The 16,302-nt window shown below is 35.8% G+C and overlaps 1 long non-coding RNA gene across 6 annotated transcripts in view; it reads left to right on the top strand.

Annotated features, from left to right (window-relative positions):
- The window catches only part of LOC105374007 (uncharacterized), a 175,630-nt gene that overhangs the window by 11,791 nt on the left and 147,537 nt on the right, over window positions 1-16,302 (top strand). For 3 of the 6 annotated variants that reach the window (XR_924270.3, XR_001740461.3, XR_001740462.1), the window contains exon 2: window positions 9,365-9,555. The exons of 1 other annotated variant lie outside the window; for it this stretch is intronic. This is a non-coding gene — a long non-coding RNA (uncharacterized LOC105374007). The remainder of the gene's footprint in view (window positions 1-9,364; window positions 9,556-16,302) is intronic. 2 more of the 6 variants (XR_001740465.2, XR_001740464.1) reach the window with 1 other exon arrangement.

Genomic DNA, 16,302 nt, shown 5'->3' with positions numbered 1-16,302 from the left:
CTTTGCCCAATCTCAAAAAGAGGGCTTCTCCTCAATTATTTTATGCTACAACTTTGTTATTTGCTTTATCCAGGCCAAGTCAAAAGCATCTCATGATTCTATTATTGTTTATTTTGATTTGTTTTGGCGTGAGACACATGTTGAAGATTTTTATTTTTTTTTCTGTTGAATGGTTGAATGTTTGCATTTTAGAATTTTACTGTTAGAATTGTCATGTAGCGTGAGCCAAGTTTCTTTGGTTTCTACTAGATTTTGATTTCACTCATACCAATTAGAGGGAGTTCCAGCAGTCATAAAAAGCAGTAAGTTGTTTGTCATAATTCTGGTCATACCAACAGCAAGGTCTTCTAAGGCAGCTCTAGAAAACAATTATAGGAAAAGGAATTTTGAAACTTGATTTCTGTTGCTGGACTCAATCACTGAATATTCTAAATCAAGGTTTTCCCATTTCTGCCTCAGTTTCTCCCCCTGGAATATACAAATGGTGTTGTATAGGGTATAATATAGGAACGATGCTTTATTGGGCCATAAATCTAAATAATTATAAGACCTTGGCAAATCCTTCAAGTCCTCTTTTAGAAGATGCACATTTGAAGCTACACTTAATTAAGCAAAAATTATTTAAGAGGTTTGCCCCCCAAAGCACTATTAGAATATATAAATCTATAATCATGCTTGAAAACATTATTCTTAAAAAGCCAACGGCAAACTGTGTAGAAAACATATTCAAGTATAATGCACATGAAGAATTCTCATCAGACCAGCTGAATTAAATGGCAGATGGATATGTAACATCTTGGTATGTGGGCAGATTTAAAATCTAAGTGTTCACATTTATTAATTCTAAAAAAGCATAAATTTCCATTGATTTGAATCAGTGCAAACACACAATGTCTACATTATTCTACTTTTCCAATGTTTCTAATAAGGAGATTTTTTTTCTCTGATATGAGCAGAAGCATATCAAGTTTAGGGCTAGAAATTTGGGTCTCCAAATAAAAATCTTTGCAGGAGTCATGATACTCTTTTGGCTATTTCTTTTGCATATGCTTTTGTTTCGTGAGCCTTCCTGCTTCTTGATCCGACCTTTTCAGTAATACATTAAACTGTCAGTTTCTAGTGCTTATTTGGATTATTTTCAGACCGAGCACATAGATTTTATAGTAAGTTGTTATAACACCATTTTGACTCCTTAGTAACTCTTTCTCATCATAATAATATTCGCATTATATGGAATCATATGTATTTTGCTGGGCCAGGATAAGATGAAGGTGTAATACAGAGAACGTGTTTTAAAGCCATTTATGTAAAAATGAGAATCTGGATGAATGCCATTGCCGTCCAGCTATTGACCTGCAGGATATATAACGTATACCACTGGCATGGAACATAATCTGAAGTGATTTAGTAGGAAGGTTAAAACATCTTTACTGAGGTCTGAGGGGCAAAGGAATACTTTTCATAATAGTTTTCCTGAACTTAAGCAAAGAATATTAATATTTATGTACATTCTTGTGAAATACATATACTTTGTTATATCATTTAATACAGCCTCTCCAAAAGTAATGTAATAGAATACATGAAACTGACAATGCAATTAGGATTTATCTCTCAATTTTTATCTTTGAAAACAGCTCTGGAGTACTAATTACCAGGAGAGCTGTCAGGAACAAGGTGAACACAGATTTGACTTGGTTTCAATTCATTCATGCTCCACTTGTTGCTGGATTTGGGCAATGGAAGGTCTGCCCGAATGCTGGATGATGGTCAGTTGAGGACCACACAACTGTTAGTATAACTTAGGCAAGGGTCATCAAAGGACCCCCTACAACAGCAATCCTATTCAGTAACTCCTGCACAGTGCCTTGGATTTGTAAAATGCTTTCACATCTATTTTCCTTTTTGAGCCTCACAAAAATCCTTTTGTCTAAGTAAGGTAGATGAAAATATTCCAGTTTTATAGATGGGAGAGCTCCAGTTTGGAGGGACTAAGAAACTTGCCCAAAGTTACAAAGTAGTAAGTGATAGCTGGGGTTCAATTACAGTTCTTGGAACTTAAGTCCAGCAGTCAGCCTCTATAGGCTGCAAGTAAGGTGAGACAGGGAATAAATCTATACATTGTGGAAATCACTCCTTTGATGGTCTGTGCTTAACAACAGACTGAAATGCTCTGGGCCATCTTAATTACTGAAATATCCAGATGCTATAAATTCTCTTTAGTGCTAATTACTGATGTAACTACTTGTGTTTCTGTCTGAGGGTTTGAAAATTCTTTCAATATTCCAGGTCATTAATAACACCAGATGTGCCAGGAAAAGCACATGGTAGCTTTAACTTATAGAGGGCAATTCCCAGGCAAAAACAGCCCCTGTTGTATTTATCTTTAATAAGGATTATGGTTTGTTTCTTAATCAGGATAACATCTAAGGAAGAGAAAAGCAGTCAGTATAGAAAGATTTCCTTAAACACCTTCCCTCTTCCTGTCCTGACTCTCCTATCCATCCTTCTCCAAATATTCTGGGCATGAAACAAAACAGGCAAATGTTGTTTGTGGACTGAGAATTGCTTCCCAGATGTCTCCTTAAATCTTGATCAGTTCTGTCTCAGATTTGGAATGTTTTAACCTTACTACTATAATCTTGAGTTCTTCCAGTGACAATCCTGAATAACCACCTTGAAAGGCCAGTCCACATAATCTTGGGGAATGTCTCTTGAAGCTCAACTATTCCTCAGACAATTCTCATCTCCACCCTTCTTGGTAAATCCGCATTTTCTTCCAGCCATTTGTCTCACAGAAACCAGGAAATCCACAGCCTTTTGACCCAATCTGAAAGGGAAATTTCCCAGGAAGACTTAACGAAAGAAAGCAAGCCACAAAAGAGGAGGAAATAAAAAATGACTCAAAATGGCTTCAGAGCAAAAATAATCAGTTAATAATTCTGTGGTCACATAGACTTTTTGTCCCAGAAATATAATAACGAAGATTGTTCATTTTACATGTCTGTATGCTTTTATAGAAAAGATCTTTTTGAATTTTTGAAATTCTCTTTTAATACTTTGGTCATCAATCAGTTGTCTAGAAGGTAAAAGTAATTGATTATTTTTCTGGGGCATCTAATTTTTATTACCTATTTATTGATCTTCTCTACTTAGTGCAAACTATTGTGTATGTTGCTGGGAGGGGTGGTTTGGGTACAGTGAGGAAATACACTGATTCTTACCCTCAAGGAGCTATATTAAACTATTAAACAAATTTTCTAATTTTTGTGGGTACATAGTAGGTTAATATATTTATAGGGTACATGAGATATTTTGATATAGGCAAGCAATGTGAAATAAGCACATCATGGAGAATGGGATATCCATTCCTTCAAGCATTTATCTTTTGAGTTACAAACAGTCCAATTATACTTTTTAAGTTATTTAAAAATGTATGATTGAGTGATTATTGACTATAGTCACCCTATCGTCCAATCAAATAGTAGGATTTATTTACTCTTTCTATTTTTTTGGTACCCATGAACCTTCCCAACCTTTCCCTGAGCCCCCCACTACCCTTCCTAGACTCTGGTAACCACCCTTCTACTCTTTATTCATGAGTTCAATTGTTTTGATTTTTAGGTCCCACAAATAAGTGAGAAAATGCAATATTTGTCTTTCTGTGCCTGGCTTATTTTCACTTAACCTAATTATCTCCGGTTCCATCCATGTTGTTGCAAATGACTGGATTTCATTCTTTTCTTATGGCTGAATAGTACTCCATTGTGCATATGTGGTACATTTTCTTTATCTGTTAATCTGTTGATGGACACTTAGGTTGCTTCCAAATCTTAGCTATTGTAAACAGTGTTGCAACAAACACAGGGGGGTGCAGATATCTCTTCAATATACTGATTTCCTATCTTTTGGGTATATACCCAGCAGCGGGATTGCTGAATCATAACGGTGGCTCAATTTTTAGTTTTTTTAAGGAACCTCCAAACTGTTCTCTGTAGTGGTTGTACTAAGTTACATTCTAACCAACAGCGTACAAGTGTTCCCTTTTCACATTTTTCATTGTTGGCATATAGAAATGCTACTGATTTTTGTATGCTGATTTTGTATCCTGCAATTCTGTTGAGTTTGTTTATCAGTTCTAAAATTTTTCTTGTAGAGTCTTTAGGTTTTTCCAAATATAAGATCATATCATTGGAAAACAAGGGTAATTTGACTTTTCCCTTTCCAATTCGGATGCCCTTTATATCTCTCTCTTGTCTGATTGCACTAGCTAGGACTTCCAGTACTACGTTGAATAACAGTGGTGAAAGTGTGCACTCTTATCAAGTTCCAAATCTTAGAGGAAAGGCTTTCAGTTTTTCCCTACTCAGTATGATACTAGCTGTGGGTCTGTCATATATGGCTTTTACTATGTTGAGGTATGTTCCTTCTATCTCCAATTTTTCGAGGGTGTTTATCATGAAGTGATATTGAATTTTATAATCTCAAATGCTTTTTCAGCATCAACTGAAATGATCATATGGTTTTTTTATCCTTTATTTTGTTGATGTGATGTATCACAATGATGGATTTGCGTATGTTGAGCCATCCTTGCAGTCCAGGGATTAAATCCTACTTAGTCATGATAAATATTCTTTCTAATGTATTGTTGAATGTGGTTTGCTAGTATTTTGTTGAGAATTTTTGCATCAATATCCAAGGAGTTACATTAAAGGAAGATAAGAACAGCACATTTAAAATAAATTGGGTTAAATTTTACACCAAGACAGTGAAGATTTTAAAGCTACAGAGAAGGGACACATGGCTCTGTAAAAAGGACAGACTCTTCTTGAGCCCTAATAAAGTTTATATAAAATTGACTAGAAATAGCTATTTCACTCATTTTATTGAGTCTTGGATACCTTCTTATTTTTCTTCTACTTTTTGTTAAGAGTTATTTACAAATAAGAGCAATTATTTGGGGGTGTCTGAAATGTAAGGTAGAGAGGATTCTGACCCTCAGCTGTATTGGTGTCCTGAATGATTTCTGGTGGGAATTTCCACCAGGCAGTTGATGGAGGACGCTGATAAGTCAAGCTTGGTGAGGAGATGACTTGGAATTGATGTTTTATTGAGTTCTTGTCAGAATACATGCTGGGATTCTCAGAATCAGTGAGACGATATAAATATAACAACTGAAAACATCTGGCCACAAAGTTTAGAGACCCTTAGAAAAGCAGAGACTTTCTCCATTAACCTCTTGCTTAAATTGCATAGACTAAGGGTGAACATGGTGGCTCATGCCTGTAATCCCAGGACTTCGGGAGGCTGAGCTGGGTGGATAACTTGAGCCCAGGAGTCCAGGAGTTTGAGATCAATCAGCCTGTGCAACATGGCAAAACCCTGTCTCTAAACAAACAAACAAAAACCCAGAAAACAAAAAGCGTAGACTGTTTTAAGCAAGCAGGGGCCTCCTGCTAGTTGGGAAAACATCTGAAAGCTTTGGAGGCTCCCTGTTTCCTTCAGGTAATAGTTTGATAAGTTTATTTTTTTTCAATAACACACCAATGCGCCTAAGTTGATAAATCACTTGAATCACTCAGTAAACTAACTTAGCGTAACTGGAATTCATGATCTATCTCTATACTTATTATCCTATCTCCTGAGTGATTAATTAGTTGCTATACACCACATGCTTGTTAAAAAAAATCGTTGTGTTTCTTTTTTTTGGACTTCATGGCTTAACAAAAGTCCATAACTGCCTTAAGTAAGAAAATGGTAGAAAATTGGAATTGTCTTTCATTTCTTAATTCTTTAACTTGTGCAAGATGTGTTTCAGACCTGACAACAAAAGCAACTAGAATTATTTCTCTCTGTGTGTGTCTGTCTCTTTATATATTTCACATATACCCCAAAATGTATTATGAGGAAAGAAAATAAAGCTGGTCAAATATCTGCATAAGAACATTTTAGGAGACCCTTCTTTTTGGGAAGTGGAATGGGGTAGGGGGATGTACCATAGTAGTCTGTTACATAAATTAAAAGAATGCTTTAGACCAGTGGCTTTGTTGCTAACTTTATCTGCCTCAGAGAAAAGGAAGACTTCCTGAGTGCAAACATATTTTGTGAAAAGGAGTGGGGTCTTTGTTGGAAAAAAAAAAAAGCAACAGTGGAAAGACTGGGATGCTTGGAAAAAACATATTTTAAACAGTTGGACAAAGACAGGTGGTTCATTTTTTTTCTTCCTGCCAAGCCATTTCTACTTAGGATTAAAAAAAAAAAACCACAGTTCGATATTGAATTCAGAACCAAATTTTCAAAGAAATTCATTGCCAGGGGACATACATGGAATTCCCACCAATGATAGCATAAAACATGAAAGGATAACAGTCTGACCTCCCAGTGTGGTCTCTTCTTCTGGAACACCAGGTAACCAGCTAACAGTGTATCTTTGTACATAGGGTAGGGTCTTTCCTCTTTCTTCATATACCCCTGGCTGGCTGTCTTTTGCAGGTCTAAGTTAGGCACCCCTTGTGGTCTTACTTCATGACGCCATTAACCTCTCTTTTGAAATGACTGGCAGTTCACAGAGCACACTTTCTCATCACCGCAGTCCAGTCACTCTCCTTCCTCTCAGGTGCCAAAAACACCCAGCACAAGGAACACAAGGCCAAGTTGAGGGTGGGGTGTGACTCCCTGGCCAATATTTAGTCGTAGAAAAAACAGAAAATATGAATCAGATGTTCTTGTTCAATACTTACTACTTTGACTATTTCGGGCAAGTCTCTACCTCACTCAGGCTCATCTGTAAAATGGGGCTATTGTTAAAACCCAACTTGTATTATAGCTGTCTTTATATGTAGACATGCTATGTAAACTGGAATTTACTATGTAAAGCTAGTTGTAATTAACATGAACTATGTAGTAAAACCACTATTTTTTTCAGTTTGTCTGTTTCCTTGTTGCCTTTTGACAGATAGTAAACACTTTGGGGAATTTACCTCTGTGCAATTGATCCATTCATATTTATTGAGCTTCTGCTTTGTGCAAAGCCTTATGCCATATGTTATGGAATATATAAAGGTGACTAGCACATGGCCCTGGCTCTCAGATTATACAGACTAGTCAGAAATTTGTGACTCTCGAAAATAACTACTAGTGAAATAGACTATAATGCTATTTTTTTCCTACCTTTCCCAACACAACCTTCTTTCCCACTCCGTATGGCCCTAGTGGGGTTGTGACCATGCACCAGAGTCCTCAGTATCAAGAATGAGTTATCATGGTATTGGAATGAATGAGTCACAACCATTTACCCACTACTGGAACACTGCTTAAATTCAAAGTCCAGGCAGCGGGGCTCTGATTTGACATTGCAAGAGAAAAGCTTTTTTTTTTTTTTTTCCTTTCTTTCTTTTTTTTTTTTCGGTGGGTCACTAATCTGGAAATAAACAAAATTGGAATTAAAGAAAATTAGTCTGCCCTTGGAGAGAATAAGGCCACACAGAGGGGAGCAGAGATGAAAGATTAAAAAAAAGTCAGAGACTGAGATCTGATAATGTCTTCAGGCATGATTGTATTCATGGTAAAGATGCATCACTCCTTTACTTCCCATTTGCCTAATACATTCTCTTTTGACTCTCTTTTGGTGTAAACCACTTAGGGCAGTTTTATATCACTTGCAATTAAATGGGCTGTGGTAGGCAGAAATTTGGCTCCCTTGTGTTCCTCCTGTGAATATGTTATGTTAAATGGCACAAGGAACTTAGCAGGTATAATTGGGGTTACTTATCCTGGATTATCTGGGCAGGTCTAATCTAATAACATAAGCACTGAAAAGCTGAGTTCTTTATTTGGCTAGTAACAGAAGGGGAAGTCAGGGAATTAAGGTACTATTGTTGGCTTGATGAAGGGGTCATGTGTAAAGGAAATGGAGGCCTTAGTTCTATAACCACAGAGAAATGAATGTTACTCAGAAGCAGAATCTTTCCCAGAGCATCCAGATAAGAGCCCATCCCAGCCAACATCTTGATTTATTCCTTATGATTCCCCAAGTAGAAGACCCAGTTAAGGCAGGCTGTACCTGGACTTCTGACGCACAAAACTGTGAGATAATAAGTGGCTGTTGTTTAAGTCACTAACTTTGTGTTTATTTGTTATGGCAGCAAGAGGAAACTAATATGTAAGTCACATAAGTGGTATTTTTCCATTTAGTAAGATTTATGGAGCCCCTGCCTCATGTCCAATGTCTAGAGCCACATGGACACAAACACTAAGTAAATATCAAAAATAATTACACAAAGTTCTCTTCAAAGGCTTTATGGCCTTTTTATAAAGAATGCTTGGAAGAAAAGAGAATGCTTGGTACAGTGGCAAGGACAATGTCTTATTTATCTCTCTGTCCCCTGACACCTTCCTGGCACATAATAGGAGCTCAACTTCTATTTGTCCCACTAGACTGAAAGGTTTTACAATACTGTTGATTCAACAGCACATGGTACTGGGGAGTCAAGAGCCAAAGACTTTGGTGTGGTTTGGAAGTTATGCTTTAGGGAATGTTTTCTGCTCTGGTCTTCAACTTACATGTGAAGAAGGAAAAACTTTAAATGCTTAGGTTTACTTCTTTCTCTTTAAAATATAGATCTGCTTGGTCTTCACAATGATTCATATTTTGATTCATTACTAAGATTAATTGTGATTATTTATGGCTTACGGTTTAAGTGCCCCAACCATCAGCACATTTAAGGCTTAATGTCTGGAGCAGATTCAGGAATCAGCAAATTCAGCAATTATACCTGCTTCTCAAAAATTTAATGTGAGTAGGCTTAGTTAGCATTTTCTCCTTGGTGACTACCATCAGTGTCCAATCTAGTTACCAGTATTTGTCCTTTGTCATGGTTCCAGGTTGTGCAGGGTGCGCTGGCCCTCCCTTTGCATGTTCATACTCCAGGGTAAAGTTCCTCTATACACCAGTCAGATGTCTGAATTCTGTCCCCCTCACTCCTTTGATCCCTGCAAGTCCCAGTTATTAGTTCCTCTCCCAGGGCTTGTTTGAGATTTGCAAACAACTTGTCCTCTACACTTTCCACTACCTCCAAACTGCCTCCTTACTGGCTTACTTCCCCCTATTTTACTGCTTATCTCTTACTCAGGAATGGGGATGCAACTTATGTGACCCCACATTTACTTTCCTTATGATTCTGATACCTAACAGGAAATATCCACATACTCTTAAATTCTGATATGCTTCTGTAGGATGGCTAATGAATACTTTGCATTTCTGAGCTGTGAGAGTTTAGAGTTTCAGTAACTTTGATCCATAGAAAATATCTGGGCAAAACTAAACAAATAAAATAACTATTCTGTCATGATTGACTCTGTTCTACAGATGTGCTGTTCTTGACGTCCTTACTTCTGTCCTCAGAATCATATCTTCGCATCTGAAAGAAGGCAACAGCATTGAGCAACAATCTGGGACTCTATTTGATATCTTCCCTTGAGAAGTGTTAAATGTTGCCATAATCTTGACAGTTCAAAAGTTAGTCATGTGGTTGATATTTTACCAATGAGATGAATGTGGTGAGTATCACTTTTCCTTTAATTAGTTTTGTCAGTACAAACTTGGCAAGAGATAATAGTAAAGAGATATTGGCATTTAGGCGTGTTCATACTTACTTTTATGATTTAGGATTATGACAGCTTTCATGGTCAGTATCCTAAGAGCAACCCTGTCTGGTTTATAAATTCTGAAATTACAGTGTTTTACTTCTTTCCAGTCCTGCAGACAGAAGCAGCAACACTCATCAAACACTGCAGTTTTGATCAGATACGGTCATGTAGGCATGAAAACATTTTATTTTATATTAATCAACTGATATTTATGATTCATGTGGAAAAATAGGTCTTTCATTTTCTCTTTTTCTGACAAAGTTTGCTGTATAGTTTAATCTGTTTGAGTGCTTTTTTTTTCAACTCTTCACTGTGTTTTGCATGATCAAAGTTATTGTCTTCAAAACTAAAATAAAGAGAGTTGTTTGTCTTTTCCTTATTATTATTACAGAGCCTTGGAACACATGTATGACCATGCTTTTTACTTTTCTGGTTCAAATTATTAGAATTCAGAACTTGTCCTTGACATTCTACTAATAGAAAAACAAATGAAGAATTATTCCCTTAATGATTAAAAAACCTATCATTTTTTTCCATGCATGACATTTTCATGAACGAAAGAAGATAACAGACAGAAGCTGGTTAGGCTAGTAGAATAAACAATAATAACAATAGCTACTGTTTATTAAATGCCTAACCCCTGCCTGATAATTTATATAAATAATATCACCTTCTATTTCTGATAATATGGTGGGACAGATACTCAAATAAACTTTCCCAATGAAAACCATTAAAAAATGCTATCTAATAGTGCTTAAAAGCATCAATGAGCAGGCAATAAGGTAGATAACTATCTGGCTAAAATCTAGTTCGATAAAACAGAAGTCCAGACAGCTAAACTACTGCTAAATTTTACTTTATCCAGAGGACATTTACTGAACATAGTAGCCTTCAGATTCAATTTCCTCACAGAGTTATGAGACAAGAAACAGAGATCATGGGACACTGGGACAAAAACACTCTCCCTTCAACGGAGAGAGTGAACAACAGGGAGGGTGAACTATAAATTCCACACCCTCCACTAAGAAAGATAAATATTTGGAAAATATGAAAGAGCTTAAAAGTCACACAGGAGAGGATGAGATATCTAATGTAAGTATAATTTGAGTTTCAACAAAAAAAATAAAGAGTATGGGAAAAGGTAATATCCAAAGAGATGATGGCTGAGGATTTCCCAAAATTATTGAAAGACATAAATCCTCAGATACATAAATTCCAATAAATCCAGAGCAGACGTTAAAAATGAAATCCTTACCAAAATACATGAGTAAGCTACAAAACACCAAAGACAAAGAAAATATCTTTAAAGCAGTCAGAAGGAATAAACTGATCACCTACAGAGGAATGGTTGACAGCTGGTCTCTCGCAGCAACAATGAAAACCAGAACAAGAGAAATAGTATATTCCATATGGTAAGAGACAATAATTGCTGATTAGGAAGGTTTAACTGAGTGAAACTATCTATAAATCAAAGGCAAAATGACAACATTTTCAGGCAAACCTAAAGTGAAACTCAACTGACTACCCAAAGATCATCATTAAAGTACTTTCCAAAGGATAAATTTCTTTTTATTTTTTATTTTTCAATTTACATCATAGTATTATATTTTCCCCCTTCTCTCCAACTTTATTTTAGGTTCAGTGGGTACATGTGTAGGTTTGTTATGTGGGTAAATTGCATGTTGCTGAGATTTGGTGTACAGATTATTTTGTCACCCAGGTAATGAGCATAGTACTAGGATAGTTATTTTTACATCTTCACCCTCCGTTCTCAAGTAGGCCACAGTGTCCATCATTCCCTTCTTTGGGTCCACGTGTTCTCAGTGTTTAGCTCCCATTTATAATGAAAAGATGTGGTATTTGGTTTTCTGTTCCTGTATTAATTCACTTAGGTTAATGGCCTGCAGCTTCACCCATGTTGCTGCAAAGGACATGATCTTGTGCTTTTTTTATGGCTGCATAGTATTTCATGCTGTATATGTACCACATTTTCTTTATCAGTGAACCATTGATGAACATCTAGGTTGATTCCATGCCTTTCCTAATTATGAATAGTGCTTTTATGAACATATGTGTTCATGTGTTTTTATTTTCCTTTGGCATATACCCAGTAATGGGGATTGCTGGGTCCAATGGTAGTTTCGTTTTATTAATAAGTTCTTTGAAAAATCTCCAAACCGCTTTCCACAGAGGCTGAACGAATTTACATTTCCACAAAAAGTGTATAAGCATTCCCTTTTCTCCACAACCTCACCAACATCTGTTATTTTTTGTCCTTTTAGTAATAGCTATTCTGACTGGTGTGAGATGATAGCTCATTGTGGTTTTGATTTGCATTTCTTTAATCATTAGTGATGCTGAGCATTTTTTCATATATTGGTTGGCCACATATATGTCTTTTTTTAAAGAAGTGTCTGTTCATGTCCTTTGTCCATTTTCTACTACAGTTGTTTATTTTTTGCTTGCTAATTTAAGTTTCTTATATTAACAGATTCTAGATATGAGACCTATGTTGGATGCATAGTTTGCAAATATTTTCTCCCATTCTGTAGGTTGTCTGTATACTCGTCGATAGTTTCTTATGCTGTGCAGAAGCTCTTTAGTTTAATTAGGTCTCCTTTGTCAATTTTTGTTTTTGTTGCAATTGATTTTGGAGCTTTGTTGTAAAATCTTTGCCAAGGCTGACATCCAGAATGGCATTTCCTAGGTTTTCTTATAGGTTTTTTGTAGTTCGAGGTTTTATATTTAAGTATTTAATCCATTTTGAGTTTATTTTTGTATATGCTGAAAGGAAGGGGTCCAGTTTCAATCTTTTGCATCTGGCTAACCTAACCAGTTATACCAGCACCATTTATTGAATAAGGGGTTCTTTTCCCCATTGCTTGGTTTGTTGATGTTGTCAAAGATTAGATTATTATAGGTGTGTGCCTTTATATATGATTTCTCTAATTTGTTCCATTGGTCTACATGTCTGTTTTTGTACCTTAACCATGTTGTTTTGGCTATTGTAGCCTTGTAGTATAGTTTGAAGTTGAGTAGTGTGATGTCTCCAGCTTTGTTCTTTTTGTTTAGGATGACTTTGGATATTCTGGCTCTTTTTTAATTCCATACGAATTTTACAATAGTGTTTTTTTTTCTACTTTTGTGAAAAGTGTCATTGGTAGTTTGATAGAACAGCATTGAAACCATCAATTGCTTTGAGCAGTATGGCCATTTTAATGACTTTGAATCCTCCTATCCATGAGCATGGAATGTTTTTCCATTTGTTTGTATCATCTTTGATTTCTTTCAGCAGTGTTTTGTAATTCTCATTGTAGAGATCTTTCACCTCCCTTGTTAGCTGTATTCCAAAGTATTTTATTTTATTTTTCTGTGTGGCTATTGTGAATGGGATTGCATTCTTGATATGGCTCTCAGCTTGGATGTTGTTGGTGTATAGAAATGCTATTGATTTTTGTACGTTGATTTTGTATCAAAGGATATATTTCTAAAGAATATACTTCAAGAAGGATGAAAATGATCCTAGATGGGAAATCTGAGATGCAGTAAGAAATGCTGAGCAAAGATTATGGTAAATTTAAATAAAGATGGCCAAGGCAGGTGAATCACCTGAGGTCTAGAGTTCAAGACCAGCCTGGGCAACATGATGAAATCCTGTCTCTACGAAAAGTATAAAAATTAGCCGGGCAAGGTGGTGTGCACCTGTAATCCCAGCTACTCAGGAGGCTGAGGTATGAGAATTGCTTGAACCCTGGAGGCAGAGGTTGCAGTGAGCCGAGATGATGCCATTGCACTCCAGCCTGGGCAACAGAACAAGACTCTGTCTCAAAAAAATGAAGGAAAGAAAGAAAGAAAGAAGAAAGAAAGAGAAAGAAAGAGAAAGAAAGAAGGGAATGAGGAATAGGTCAAAAGTAAAATACTGAAAAAAAAGGCAGAACTAAAATACTGGAAAATCATAGCACTTAAATTGGGAAGGGAATGAATAAAGTTAAAATTGTGTTGTTCAAGACAGAAATGAAGATATTTCTATGGTATGAATGTTATAATTTCTAGGAAGACCATTAAAATAGTAAAAATGGTACATGTCTTTGAAACTAGTAGAGGAAAAAAGGTGATAAAAAATAACCAATTTTAAAAAGGCAAGAAATGAGAGAAAAAAGGAATCAGAAAAAGGCAAGATAAATAGAACCTAATAGCATATCTCAAAATTAATGAAACAAAAATGGACAGAAATTAAAGATAAATAAATAAATTCTCAATTATAAAGGAGGTTTTAAGATATCTATCAGAAGAGAAGTGATGGAGCAGATAAGGAATCAGTAAGGAAAATGAAGATTTAAACAATACAATTTACCAAATATATCCTAATAGACTTGTGTAGTATTGTACTCACACAATGCAGAATACAAATTCTGTACAAGAACACAAAGGACATTTGCAAAAATTGACCATATAGCGAGTCTCAATAATTTTCAAAGTTACCTGTCATTCTTTGAACACAGTTCAGTTAAACTAGAAATCAATAACCAACAGATAACCAATAAAACTTCATGTATTGGGAAGTTAAGAAATACATTTCTACATAAACCACAAGTCAAAGAAAATAATCATAGTAAAGCCAGAAAATATTTAGAATGGAATGATGGTGAAAATACTACCGTTAAAACTTATAAGATGCAGATAAAGCAGCAATTAGAAAGAATTCTAGCTTCTAATGATTATATTAAAACAAAAACAAAGATTGAAAATTAATGACTGATACAGCCATCTTAAGAGGATAGGAAAAGAAAACTGAAGTAAATGCAGAGAATCTGGGACAAAGGAAATAATGAAGATATGAGCAGAAATTAATATAATGGAAAATAAGCATAGAGTAGAAAGGATGAACAAAAACAAAAGTTGGTTGTTTGGAATGACTAATAAATTTGACAAATCTTTGATCATGGAAAAAGAGCTATCCCAAGTAAATAATATGAGGAAAAAAAAGAGAATATAGCTGCCACTATTAAGGAGAAAATAAAATGATAGAATGAATAATTTCATGCCAGTTACTTTGAAAATTTATATGAAATGGACAAATTCCTAGGAAAATGCTACAAAAATTGATTTTAAAAAATAGGACACATGAAAGGTCATAATCATTAAAGAAATTGAACAGGTAGTTAAATATCTTCCCACAGAGGATAACTCCAGGCCTAGATAATTTACCATGCTGTCCAACCAAACATTCAGAGAGCAAATAATTTCAACTTTATAGAAACAATTTCAAAATAGAGTAAAAGAGGGAACATTTTAGAGTGAAAGAGAATTCATTTTATTTTATTTATTTATTTATTTTTTCAGACACAGTCTCATTCTGTTGCCCAGGCTGGTGTGCAGTGTCATGATCACTGCTCACTGCAGCCTCAACCTCCCGGGATCAATTGATGATCCTGCCTCTGCCTCCAGAGTAGCTGGGAATACAGGTGCATGCTGCTGTGTCTGGCTAATTTTTGTATTTTTTGTAGAGATGAGTTTTTGCCATGTTGAGGCAGGTCTTGAACTCCTGGGCTCAATTGAACTTCCCACTTCAGCCTCTCAAAGTGCTGGGATTAAAGCATGAGCCACCATGCCTGGCCATTCATTTTATGAGGCTGTTGTAACCTTGATACCAAAAACCAAATGTGGACAGTACAAGAAAGGAAAATTCAAGGCAAATCTTATTTAGGAGCATAGATAAAAATAATCTTAAGCAAAGTATTCTCAAAGCCAACCCGGCAATATATGAAAAGAATAATGCATTATACTGAAGTTGTGTTTATTGCAGGAATGAAAAGTTTTTAAGAAACATTAGAAAAGTCAATAGTTTTCTCCATATTGACAGATAAAAGCAAAAAGCAATATGTCAATAGATGTTGAAAATCATTTCATAAAACTCAAAATACATTCATGATACAAATTCAGAACACTAGAAATAAAAAAGAACTTAACTTGAAAAGAAGCAACTAACAAAACCTTATTACAGAAATAAAACTTAATGGTGAAACTGAAAACTTCTCCTTTGATACCAGAAATAAAAGTTTGCCTATTTAATTGCATTAATTAACAGAAGAAAGGAAAAAAAATGCTAGCATAAAAATATAAACTATAATAAACTGGATATAAATCTAGGAAAGGAAAGACCTTTCTGGAGGAAATCATGTTATCTCTAGCTTTTATAGCAGCTCTGCAAGGATATTAGTATCATCCATCAAAGCGGTAAAGCAGCTTACACAGATTTCACATAGCTGGGAAGTAGAGATGTGAGGATTTGAATCTAGGAGCATTCAACTCCAAGATCTGTGCTTTTTCCCAAATAGTGGCCCTAATTTTGGGCATCCCCAAATGTGCTCAGCCCTACGTGACTCCTGAGCCTTAGCTGCTTGTCCCTTTTCCTAGCTAGAGAACAGTGACAGGTTGTGTCATTTCTAAGGTCATTTCTAAGGTCATAAGCACTAGCTGTATGACCAGTCCCTAATCTTAGGTTGTCTCAGCCTCCCTTGAGGGTAAAACCTGGCCATTGGCATTGTTTCCAAGGGCAGGTGTTTCCAAGGTGAGCCTTGGCACAGGTCTCACCTCATTTGAGGAGTCTCTGCCCAGAAGGACTGAGTGATGCAATCTAGAAATAGTGGGGAAAGG

Source organism: Homo sapiens, chromosome 3 (assembly GCF_000001405.40).
Source record: "Homo sapiens chromosome 3, GRCh38.p14 Primary Assembly".
NCBI classification, from domain to species: domain Eukaryota; kingdom Metazoa; phylum Chordata; class Mammalia; order Primates; family Hominidae; genus Homo; species Homo sapiens.
Note: the sequence above shows the minus strand (reverse complement) of the source record. Positions and strands in the feature narration are given on the sequence as shown.